This window comes from Homo sapiens, chromosome 12 (genome assembly GCF_000001405.40).
Source record: "Homo sapiens chromosome 12, GRCh38.p14 Primary Assembly".
Classification (NCBI taxonomy): Eukaryota; Metazoa; Chordata; class Mammalia; order Primates; family Hominidae; genus Homo; species Homo sapiens.
The window spans coordinates 98,623,776-98,636,565 of record NC_000012.12 but is presented as its reverse complement, the minus strand read 5'-3'; the positions used below and the strand labels follow the sequence as shown (position 1 = coordinate 98,636,565).

At 40.4% G+C, this 12,790-nt stretch overlaps 1 protein-coding gene across 3 annotated transcripts in view, besides 1 other annotated feature; it reads left to right on the top strand.

The window, feature by feature from the left end:
* The window catches only part of IKBIP (IKBKB interacting protein), a 31,385-nt gene that overhangs the window by 8,223 nt on the left and 10,372 nt on the right, over positions 1 to 12,790 (top strand). Inside the window, exons 2-3 of one of the 3 annotated variants that reach the window (NM_153687.4) lie at positions 2,153 to 2,270; positions 9,800 to 12,317. The exons of 1 other annotated variant lie outside the window; for it this stretch is intronic. In NM_153687.4, coding sequence (NP_710154.1) covers positions 2,153 to 2,270; positions 9,800 to 10,636 — 955 coding nt within the window. In that variant the 3' untranslated portion in view covers positions 10,637 to 12,317. Of the gene's footprint in view, positions 1 to 2,152; positions 2,271 to 9,799; positions 12,318 to 12,790 lie in introns of those variants that run through there. One more of the 3 variants, NM_201612.4, reaches the window with a different exon arrangement.
* Positions 293 to 352: a silencer, noted in NCBI's record as "silent region_4754". NCBI's record gives its function as "represses an Ori minimal core promoter by ATAC-STARR-seq in GM12878 lymphoblastoid cells {active_cell/tissue: GM12878}" and the evidence as "EXISTENCE:reporter gene assay evidence [ECO:0000049][PMID:35858748]".

The following is a 12,790-nucleotide window of genomic DNA, read 5'->3' as shown; positions in this document are numbered from 1 at the left end:
AACATTTGTCTAATTTAGCTTTGGACAGTTTTGTAGCTACGGTTAGCCTAATGATGCCATTTATGAATTCAAAGCATTACCACTTTTGCAAGGATGCACAAAGTTCAGATAACTGCATTTACTCAGAAAAGTCTTTCACCTCTCCATTAATCCTTGGGATCTTTAAATGATTGCCTTTCAGTGGAAATGAATTTCACAAAACATGGTCAGTCAGTATGGTTCTAAGTTTGGCTGTGCACTTAGATTACCTGAGAAGCTGTTGAGTTTCCAACATCCAAGCCACATCCCAAGCCAATTAAATCAGAATCTTTGTGAGACCCAGGCATCAGATTTGTTAAAGCTGCCAGGTTATTACAATATGTAGCAAAGCTTTTGAACCACTTGTCTCAGGACTGTGTTTAGGCAGGTACTTATGGTTCTGCTCCATTGCGTTTTGATGACTCAATATGCAAAGAATTTCAAGTGTTTTTTTCTGAGCCTAAAGAATTGAGTTAAAGTAGACAAAATGGTATTGGATCCAAGACAATTCTTTTATGCTTGCTCATTTCAAATCCTGTATAAACAGATGTTGATTTGTTGTTTTGAAGATTGAGATAGCTTTTTGGGCTTCCACCCATAATGAAGAATAAACTCCAATTTTAGAGTGACATCTCAAGTACACCTATACGAGTCACATCACTGAGTATAACCAATTGTGCAGTTTATACACTCTGCACTGATTGTGATCTATTGTCACTTTGGCAATGGCTTTTTTCTATTTTCATACCTCTTTTCACACCTCCTGCTATTTTGCAACTTCTAATTACTATCACTTCTCTCTTCTACTCCACTGCTTTTTATCAGTCAACTCTTCTACATTTCAGTTTTAAAATACTTTTTATAGACGACTCTTGTTTCGCCTACATTTCAGCATAAAAACACCTATTTTCTAGATATTACCCAATCATGGCCTTGTGAAAAACAGTAGAGATCAAAGATCTTGTTCTAAATTTTTCACTTTGTCCTCCTCTAAAATATTTCTTGTGCATGCATCTATTACAGATATCACACCATCTTATTTGGTGGGCTGTGAATTGTGAACAAGGGCAGTGCTTTACTCATCTTTGCATGAGTTAAACCAGTACCTACCACATGAAAATCTGTCAAAAGAAACTGATAAAAGCTGCATCTAGGCTGGACATGTTGACCCACACTTGTAATCCCAGCGCTTTGGGAGGCTGAGGGGAGGATCACTTGAGGCCAGGAATTCAAGACCACCTTGGGGCTGGGCACAGTGGCTCATGCCTGTAATCCTAGCACTTTGGGAGGCCAAGGCGGGCAGATCACTGGTCAGGAGTTCAAAACCAGCCTAGCCAACATGGTGAAACCCCATCTCTACTAAAAATATTAAAAAATTGGTGGGGCGTGGTGGCAGGTGCCTTTAATCCCAGCTACTTGGGAGGCTGAGGAGGAGAATCGCTTGAACCCAGGAGGCAAAGGTTGCAGTGAACCGAGATCGTGCCATTGCACTCCAGCCTGGGCAACAAGAGCAAAACTCCATCTAAAAAAAAAAAAAAATACCGGGCGTGGTGGCTCACGCCTGTAATCCCAGCACTTTGGGAGGCCAAGGCAGGTGGATCACAAGGTCAGGAGATCGAGAGCATCCTGGCTAACACAGTGAAACCCCGTCTTTACTAAAAATACAAAAAATTAGCCAGGCGTGGTGGCAGGCGCCTGTAGTCGTAGCTACTCGGGAGGCTGAGGCAGGAGAATAGCGTGAACCCAGGAGGCGGAGCTTGCAGTGAGCCTAGATCGCGCCACTGCACTCCAGCCTGGGCGACAGAGTGAGACTCCATCTCAAAAAAAAAAAAAAAAAGGCTAAAGACCACCTTTGGCAACATAGCGAGATGGACAGTCCTAGCTATTTGGGAGGTTGAAGTAAGAGGATCACTTGAGCCCAGGAGTTCAAGGCTGCAGTGAGCTATGATTGTGACACTGCATTCCAGCCTGGGTGACAGAGTGAGACCCTGTGTGAAAAAAAAAAAAAAAAAACCTACAGCTACCCATACCAGAATTTATGTTGTTCTTAACAGAAGTGGGTATAATTCTCCTTTGAAATTCGGATTTAAATGGATATGAATTGGAGAATAGTGATTTTTCTTTTCTTTTCCAGGTTTGTATTTCAGCAGTCAGAAAAATTTGCAAAGGTGGAAAACCAATACCAGTTACTGAAACTAGAAACCAATGAATTCCAACAACTTCAAAGTAAAATCAGTTTAATTTCAGAAAAGGTAATCATTAATTGGCTTATCTGGGACGGTTTTCCCATTTTACTACCCCACTATCATTTCTCTATCCCAGCTCAGAACTTCTTTCTTCCTGCCTTTTAGACCATCACTATTTTAACTCTCACTGATCTTCCTACCTCTTGACATTCTCCCTCTGAGCCATTTTGACTCAGATTGCATTTTGAGGGGCAAGGATTTTTTAATATGATAATTTCTAGTATTGAAAAAGACCAATTTGTTCATATTAGCATGATGTTAATTTTCTACTTAAGTGTCAGGTATCTAGAGCATTGAAAATATGGTTGATCATGTCTACAGCCATACCACCCTGAATGCGCTCGATCTCATCTGAAAATATGGTTGATCTTTGGACATAAAATTAGAATATGAATAGCACTTATTGGGAAAAGATCTATCCATTTTTTCCCTTACTTTTTGCTTTTTAAGGATATATGTACATGCATTTAAGAATGGCTAGCCTAGGCTGGGAGTAGTGGCTCATGCCTTTAATCCCAGCACTGTGGGAGGCTGAGCCAGGCAAATCACTTGAGGTCAGGAGTTAGGAGACCAGCCTGGCCAACATGGTGAAACCCCATCTCTAGTAAAAATACAAAAATTAGCTGGGCGTGGTGCACACGCCTGTAATCCCAGCTACTCGGGGGGCTGAGACAGAAGAATCTCTTGAACCTGGGAGGTGGAGGTTGCAGTGAGCCAAGATCACACCACTGCACTGTAGCCTGGGCTATAGAGCGAGGATCCGTCTCAAAAAAAAAAAAAAAAAAAAAAAAGAATTAAAAAAAAAAGAACGGCTAGCCTAAAAGTAACTATTTGTCCTGTAGCCAAATAAGAATTCCAATGAAAATTAAAATAATACCATGTCTATATTGTGTTCCTTCAAGTTGCTGATTTCTACCAGATGCGTTATTACTGTGATTCTTAGAAATGTGAGACAAATAAACATTTTTGTAACTCCCACACCTCTCAGGAGAAAGTCAAAGTCAGCTGTGATCAATAAGGCATCATGTAGGCCTATTCTGGGTACCAGGGACCAAGCTATCATTGGGAAATATGGCTTTTTGTTCATTTATTCATTCACTAAACCTTTGCTCATGTCACAAGGTAAGCAAGGACCTATGCTTGGCACCAGGGTGGGTAAGGATGTTGTAAAAATAGAGATGAAATGGAGCATCTAAGTCCCTGCAGCCCCATGCACAGGATGAGCATATAATCCTCCAGAAGAGAAAAGCCATGGAGGAAAATTAAGTATCCCTCACAAATGCCAGGGGATTCCATGGATGGTGAGTGTAAGGGATTTGGGGAAGGAGCTGCAAAGGAGTTGGTATTTTCACATAGGGCTCAAATTGGAATCTGAGCCAGGCGTAGTGGCTCATGCCTGTAATCCCAGCACTTTGGGAGGCCAAGGCAGGCGGATCACCTTGAGGTCAGGAGTTCGAGACCAGATTGGCCAACATGGCGAAACCCTGTCTCTACTAAAAATACAAAAATATTAGCTGAGCATGGTGGTTCATGCCTGTAATCCCAGCTACTTGGGAGGCTGATGTATGAGAATTGCTTGAACCTGGGAGGCAGAGGTTTCAGAAGTGAGCTGAGATCATACCACTGCACTCCAGCCTGGGCAACAGAGTGAGACTCTGTCCCAAAAAAAAAAAAAAAAAAATTGGAATCTGGTTGTAGCTGTTGGGGGAACTCTAACATACCATTAGAAGAAATCCCAGGGGCAAGAAACTTCATATATATATATATATATATATATATATATATATATTTTTTTTTTTTTTTTTTTTTTTTTTTTTTCAGATAGAGTCTCTCCCTGTCATCCCAGCTCTCACTCTGTCATCCAGGCTGGAGTGCAGTGTTGGAATAACAGCTCAACCTCCCAGGCTCAAGCACTCCTCCCAACTCAGCCTCCCAAGTAACTGGGACTAACAGGCACGCCACTGCACCCAGCTAATTTTTTTTTCTTTAATTTTTTGGAGAGACGGGGTCTTGCTACATTGCCCAGGCTGGTATCAAACTCCTGGCCTCAAATGACCTTTCTGCCTCTGCCTCCCAAAGAATTGATATTACAAGTGTGAGCCACTGTGCCTTGCCAAAACTTCACATATTTAATTAAAAGCTATTGAAGGCCGGACGCGGTGGCTCACGCCTGTAATCCCAGCACACTGGGAGGCCGAAGCAGGCAGATCACGAGGTCAGGAGTTTGAGATCAGCCTGGCCAACATGGTGAAACCCCATCTCTACTAAAAATACAAAAATTAGCTGGGCGTGGTGGCGGGCGCCTGTAATCCCAGCTACTCGGGAGGCTGAGGCAGGAGAATCACTTGAACCTGGGAGGTGGAGATTGCAGTGAGCTGAGATCACGCCATTGTGCTCCAGCCTGGGCAACAGAGTGAGACTCCATCTCAATAAATAAATAAATATAAATAAAAGCTATTGAAAACTTATTTTGAACAAGATTTCTCCTTTTTTTTTTTCTTTTTTTTTTTGTGGGGGAGGTCAGGGGTGGTACAGAGTTTCACTTTTCTCATCCAGGCTGGAGTACAATGGCTCGATCTTGTCTCACTGCAACCTCCGCCTCCCGGGTTCAAGTGATTCTCCTGCCTCAGCCTCCCGAGTAGCTGGGACTACAGGTGTGTACCACCACACCCGTCTAATTTTTGTATTTTTGGTAGAGACGGGGTTTCACCATGTTGGCCAGGCTGGGCACGGTGGTTCACACCTGTAATCCCAGCACTTTGAGGGGCCGAGGTGGGTGGATCACCTGAGGTCAGGAGTTCAAGACCAGCCTGGCCAACATGATGAAACCCCATCTCTACTAAAAACACAAAAATTAGCTGGGCATGGTAGCGTGTGTCTGTAGTCCCAGCTACTCAGGAGGCTGAGGCAGGAGAATCGCTTAAACCGGGGAGGCAGAGGTCACAGTGAGCCGAGATTGCACCACTGCACTCCAGCCTGGGCAACAAAGTGAGACTCCATCTCAAAAAAAAAGCTTTTGAAGCAGATTTTTAAAATATCATTATAGAATCCAAAAAATATTCAGTCTTGGCCAGGCGTGGTGGCTCACACCTGTAATCCCAGCACTTTGGGAGGCCAAGGCAGGTGGATCACCTGAGGTCAGAAGTTCAGGACCAGCCTGACCAACATGGAAAAACCCCATCTCTACTAAAAGTACAAAAAATTACCTGGGCATGATGGTGCATGCCTGTAATCCCAGCTACTCGGGAGGCTGAGGTAGGAGAATTACTTGAACCTGGGAGGTGGAGGTTGTGGTGAGCCGAGATCATGCCATTGCACTCCAGCCTGGGCAACAAGAGCGAAACTCCGTCTCAAAAAAAAAAATGAAAAGAAAAAAAAGAAATATTCAGTCTTTTCGTAGCTTTTTCTCCCATTCTGCCCTGGGAGTAATTTAATAAGAGGTCCCTTTTCACAAAGGTGGCCCTAAAGGGCAGCATAACCCAGATGGAGGGGAAAACAGCTAGACATGGACACCCATCCCAACTGTGTGACCTTAGACAAATCACTATAACTTATCTTCATCTCTATTTCATCATTTATTAAGTGAGAAATAATAAGATTTTTATAAAGATCAGATGAGATATACAGTAAGTCCTCAACGTCATCAATAGGTTCCTGGTCATCAATAGGTTCCTGGAAACTACGATTTTAAGTGAAGTGTATAATGAAACCAATTTTTTTCTCATCTACGTTGTAATGAAAGGACATCGAAACAACGTTGTTGGAGGAGCTGCTCTGAATAGTTCCACTTAAAGTCAGTTTCCAAGAACCTACCAATGACGTTAAGTGAGGACTTACTTTATATACAAATTCTTTGAAAACAATCAAGCACTAATAAAGTACTAGCTCTTTTTTTTTTTTTTTTTTTTTTTTTTTTTTTTTTTTTGCCCAGGCTCTTGTTGCCCAGGCTGGAGTGCAGTGGGGAGATCTGGTCACTGCAACCTCTGCCTCCTGGGTTCAAGCAATTCTCCTGCCTCAGCCTCCCAAGTAGCTGGGATTACAGGCATGTGCCAACATACCCGGCTAATTTTTTGTATTTTTAGTAGACATGGGGTTTCACTGTGTTAGCCAGGATGGTCTCAATCTCCCGACCTCAGGTGGTCCACCCGCCTCAGCCTCCCAAAGTGCTGGGATTACAGGTGTGAGCCACCGCACCTGGCCCTACTAGCTCTTTCTTTAAGAAAAAATGAGACCCGGTGTGGTGGCTTATGCCTGTAATCTCAGCACTTTGGGAAGCTAAGTTGGGAGCATCACTTGAGCCTGGCAGTTTGAGACCAGCCCAGGCAACATGGTGAGACCCCATCTCTACAAAAAAAATTTTTTTAGTAAATAAAAATGAAAAACGATTAGAATATGTTGGTGGCCCATAAATGCTAGCTACTGTGGCATACTAGTCACTAAATATTTGCAGATTAAATCTATAACATCTTGCACTTACTTGGGGTATACTGCTTTCAGATTATAGTGAGGCTCTGATGAACCTCCTAAACAGGACATTACCTTAGGTGAGGATAAGCTTGCCTCTTCAAAATACTGCTAATAAAACAACTAAACCTAACCATGTTAATGGTTAGTATTTCTCATAATTGATTTTAAAAGGAACTTGTATTATGGCTGTATGTGTACATTTAAAAGAGGTTTTTATTTCTTTGGATTTTTTTGTTTGTTTTCTTTAAATGTGTGTGTGTGTATGTATGTATGTTTGAGACAGGGTCTTGCCCGGTCACCAAGGATGGAATGCAGTGGCATGATCATAGCTCACTGCAACCCTGAACTCTTGGGCTCAAGGAATCCTCCCACCTCAGCCTCCCAAGTAGCTGGGACTACAGGCGCACACCACCATGCCCAACTAATTTTGTTTGTTTGTTTGTTTGTTTGTTTGTTTGATAGAGACAGGGTCTTGCTTTGTGCCCAGGCTGGTCTCAAACTCCTAGGCTCAAGCAGTCCTTCTGCCTTGGCATCCCAACATGTTGGGATTAAGGCGTAAGCCACCATGCCCAACCCTTAAAATAAATTTTAAACAACATTTCAGAGTGGTGTTAGTCATTCTTGTTGCATACTCTTTAAGTCTTGATTGGGGTGGACCTAGAAGGCTTAGGGTCATTCTTCCTAAGCATCAACAAACATATTCTTTGTACTCTGAGATGTAGGGATTACACAGAGGCATAAGACATGGTCTCTTCTCCTTTGAAATTTAGAAGCTTTCACATCTTCACCCTGCTAATTCATCAATCAGTCTGTTAATGATTCCAATTTTGGAGCCACTTCCAGGCCTTTTCGCATTGCCCTCCTAACTTTTTATCTCTCCTCAAAGCATCCATTGCCCCCTGTGCTAATTCTTTTGTGACGCTACTTATAATCTACTGTGATTTTTTTGGTTGCTAGTTTATCTCCTTTACTCCTCTTTAGAGCATACACTGCATCTTTTATCTCCATTTCCCTAGTACCTGATAATGGAACTACCTCACACAGGGTACTCAGTAGATCTTGTTGGGACTCTAGAATATATGATGTGGAAGATCTAAACACTGTCTCCCAATCAAATTGTGAAATCAAGGACTATGCTGTATTTGTCTCCACTGTCTCACACAAGGCTGGCACAGAGTGAACCCTCAAAATTTTTTAATTGTATGTGCTAAGAGGCAAATATGTGGCAAATATATGTGTAATAGGTGCTACAGGAATTCAGGTTGTCAGGGCTAGGGCTATGGAAGAAATGCTGCTCTGAGGAGCTGAGATCCGGTCTGAGCCTTGAAGTAAGGACAATGTAACTAAATAAAGAGGAGAGGAGGATAGCATAGGGAGAGGTTAGAGAATTTGAGACTTTATCCTAGAAGTATTAGGAAACATCAAAGGTTTTGTAACAGTGTACCATGATAGGCATACCAGTTTTTAAAAGCTTAGTCTAGTAGTAGTGTGTAGGCTAATTTAGAGAGCAAGCAACTGGAAGCAGATATTAGATATTACTTTTTCTAAAATACTTTCCTTCATCACTGAAGTCTAGGTTGGGTCTCCACCTGAGTGCTTCCATAGCTCTTCACCTGTCATAGTGCATATACACTTGTCTTTCTCGTCGATTAAACAAAGCTGCTTAAGGGCAGTATTTTGTATCTTGTTCAGTATTATGTCTTCAGCATAATGCTGCAAGCACATAATAAATTAATGATTATTTCTAGGCCTTCCTGTAGTCTCTAAAGCTGTTATCTAAGTGTAGACTAAAAGAGGTCAATGACTTGGCCTTCTATATTCCAGATACAGATTAGGAGGTGCCGGAGGCTTAGCATAATTTACAAATACTTAAAACACTTTACCATTCAATTTGACTTGTCTCACTAAACTGTTTTTTAATTCATTGTTGCCTTTGTATCTGTAAGACCTGATTCTAGTACTTTCTCTGCAAGAGGTTGGTCAAAAAAATTTTTTGGCAGAAACCCTTCCAGAATTATAGGATTTTAGGAAAGATATCAAATTGTATACAAAGTTGCAGTTTCTAAAAAGCCAAAAAACCATAAAAATGACATCGAGGGCTGGGCGCGGTGGCTCACGCCTGTAATCCCAGCACTTTGGGAGGCTGAGGTGGGCGGATCACGAGGTCAGGGGATCGAGACCATCCTCGCTGACACGGTGAAACCCCGTCTCTACTAAAAATACAAAAAATTAGCCGGGTGTGGTGGCGGGCGCCTGTAGTCCCAGCTACTCAGGAGGCTGAGGCAGGAGAATGGCTTGAACCTGGGAGGCGGAGCTTGCAGTGAGCCGAGATCACGCCACTGCACTCCAGCCTGGGCGACAGAGCGAGACTCCGTCTCAAAAAAAAAAAAAAAAAGAAAAAGAAAACTGACATCAAAGTTACTTACCATTAGAGTTAAAAGGAGGAAATTGCATCTATTTCAGGCACTTTAACATTACTTTTCTCTTGTATATGCTTCCATAGAAATGCTGAAATATCTAGGATTGTGTGTTCAGGTGTATTTTTTTTTTTTTTTAACATAGTGCTGGCCAGGCGCGGCAGCTCTCGCCTGTAATTCTAGTACTTTGGGAGGCCGAGGCAGACGGATCACTAAAGGTCAACAGTTCAAGACCAGCCTGGCCAGCATGGTGAAACCCCATCTCTACGAAAAATACAAAAATTAGCTAGGCATAGTGGCGCGTACCTGTAATCCCAGCTACTCAGGAAGCTGAGGCAAGAGAATACGTTGAACCTGGGAGGCGGAGGTTGCAGTGAGCTGAGGTTGCTCCACTGCACTCCATCCTGGGTGACAGGGTGAGATTCCGTCTAAAAAATAAATAAATAAATAAAACAATGCAGGGTTAACGTATTTGTGAAAACTATTAATGTAATAAATATCTTTGTCAGTCTGATTCTGATATACTTGGATATTTTAGACATCTTCAGAATTTTAACGTGGCATGTGTTATGCTCCTGATTGTTAAAGTGTGTTTCTCTAATATGAAAATTATTAAGTAGCCTTGGGAATTGTTTTGTGTTATAAATGCAGCTTGAGTCTACTGAAAGCATCCTGCAGGAAGCTACATCATCCATGTCTTTGATGACCCAGTTTGAGCAGGAAGTATCCAACCTCCAAGATATCATGCATGACATTCAAAATAATGAAGAGGTGCTCACTCAAAGGATGCAAAGCCTTAATGAGAAATTTCAGAATATTACGGATTTCTGGAAGAGAAGCCTAGAAGAAATGAACATTAATACAGACATTTTCAAATCAGAAGCAAAACATATACATTCTCAAGTAACTGTCCAAATTAACTCAGCTGAGCAGGAAATAAAATTGCTCACTGAACGGCTAAAAGATTTGGAAGATAGCACACTAAGAAATATTAGAACAGTAAAAAGACAAGAAGAAGAAGATCTCCTGCGAGTAGAGGAGCAGCTAGGCTCTGATACAAAGGCAATTGAAAAGTTAGAAGAGGAACAGCATGCCCTCTTTGCCAGAGATGAAGATCTGACTAATAAACTTTCCGACTACGAACCCAAAGTTGAAGAATGCAAGACACATTTGCCAACAATTGAAAGTGCTATTCACTCTGTTCTCAGAGTCTCTCAGGATCTGATAGAAACAGAAAAGAAAATGGAAGACTTGACTATGCAGATGTTTAATATGGAAGATGATATGCTGAAAGCAGTGTCTGAAATAATGGAGATGCAGAAAACCCTTGAAGGAATTCAGTATGATAATAGCATATTAAAGATGCAAAATGAACTGGATATTCTAAAAGAAAAAGTTCATGATTTTATAGCATACTCAAGTACAGGAGAAAAGGGAACTTTAAAAGAATATAATATAGAAAATAAAGGAATTGGTGGTGATTTTTAAATTCATGACATTTATTCTGATGAACCATATCATTATACATAAATTGATTAGTCCATTGATTTTGAGTTACTTTGATACGCCTCATCTTATCCTACATTATTGGAAAATAAATGAGATGTCCACACAAATGGATTATCCACATAATCAAAGCTTATCTTTTTAAGCACTAAAACTTACTTCATTGTAACTATTTGAAATAGAAATAGTTCTTTAAAAATATTTCTCTACTTTTAAAACAAGATACTTAATATTTTTAATGTTTTTTAAAGCATTAATGAACATCATCATTAATTTCACCTATTATATTGTACCCACATATATTGATGTCTCCAGGGGCTAATAAAGAGTATTTACCACTTCACTAAATGACCCCAATTTGCCATTTTCAAACCTATGTCTCATACCTTTTCTGTCACCTGAACTTACTGTCAGGTTGGTTGGTAATGTGCCTGCCTCAGCCAGTTCACTTTCTTAGGTAATTCACTGCAGGTTAAGAATCCACACAACCAAGTTCATGGGAATTTTGTGTAAAATAAAAGATAACATGCCTGAGGGAGAGCCTGGTGCCTTTGCTATGAATTAATATGCACTTTCTGAAAACTCTAAAGCCTGGGAAACATTTTAGTTTTTGTTAAGGTTCTAAACTGTGTTACAGATACTTGTAAGACTTTTAAAATCAGAGTAAGTATGTTCTTACATAAGGCCTTTCTTAGGAATTATGTGTATATAAATCTTTGAAATATCTTTATATACCTGAGTTTTAGGTTCCAACTGTGTTAGACATGAGTTTGCTAGATCCATGGTCTCTAGATGGTTTACTTAAATAGGCCAGGCGCAGTGGCTCACACCTGTAATCCTAGCACTTTGGGAGGCCGAGGTGGGCAGATCACGAAGTCAGGAGATCAAGACCATCTGGCTAACAGGGTGAAACCCTGTCTCTACTAAAAAATACAAAAAATTAGCCAGGCGTGGTGGTGGGTGCCTGTAGTCCCAGCTACTCAGGAGGCTGAGGCAGGAGAATGGTGTGAACCCGGGAGGCAGAGCTTGCAGTGAGCCGAGATCGCGCCACTGCACTCCAGCCTGAGTGGCAAAGTGAGACTCTGTCTCAATAAATAAATAAATAAATAAAAATAAGCCTGTGGCCTGTTTTGAGGGAAAAGTAACATAACTCTGATAATTAATTATGATAATAACTATGATAGTTAAAAATACGTCATTTTAAAGATTTCCCAAACCACACCACTAAATTTGTTTTATGAATTGATTTTATTTTATTTGAAATTATATAATGTAGTCAACTGCAATATGGAAGTTTGTTCTTGTTTCTTTGTCAATAACCTTACCAGTTTTATAATGCAGTTTTTGATGGAATTAAACACAAAGAACTTGAAAGCAGTCAGTTACAAAAAGGTAGTTGTGGTCAAGTAGTTTTAATATGTAAATTTGCAAGTTTTTGGAGAACCCCCAAACTCCTTCTCCACTGGAGTTAGGAGGGCCTGTGGTAGACAGCGTGAATCATGAAAATAAGCCTGGAGAGTTCTGTTATTAAGGGGCATAGCATTAATTTTTGCAGTCTTAAAATTACACTTCTTGACTTCTGAATGTCTCTTATTTGCGTGCACTGACAAAATTCTATTTGTTTACTTTTATATTAATGGTAATAAAATAGATTATAAAGTAAGCTGGAACTTTGTTGTTTTAACCTCCATCCTGTCAAGGCAAATGTGATCTCTTATCTTATATCCTTTACGTTTAAATATTTTTTTCTCACCGATCACCACATTTAATATGAGGTTATTATGAACTTATATATACCATGGTAATGGTTACTGAAAGTAAATGGAAACAAGGTGGCTACTGTTCTCTATAATGACACAAGGGAAAGGAAGAAAACTGCACTTCTACAAGTATAACATGAGAAAACTATTAAAGTATATATGCGTTTGTATGTATGTATAGATATCTAGATAGATATATCCTGTATTTATGAAGAGGTTTTCCTATTAAGAAATTATTAGAGAGATTTAGATGTACTTAATTTGTCTTTCTCTCTTTCTTCCATTCATTTATTTAACACAGATGCTTAAAATTTCAAAAACTTTCCTGTGTATCAAATATTAAATTACATTGTTAGTCTTTTCTTTAGGGAAAATT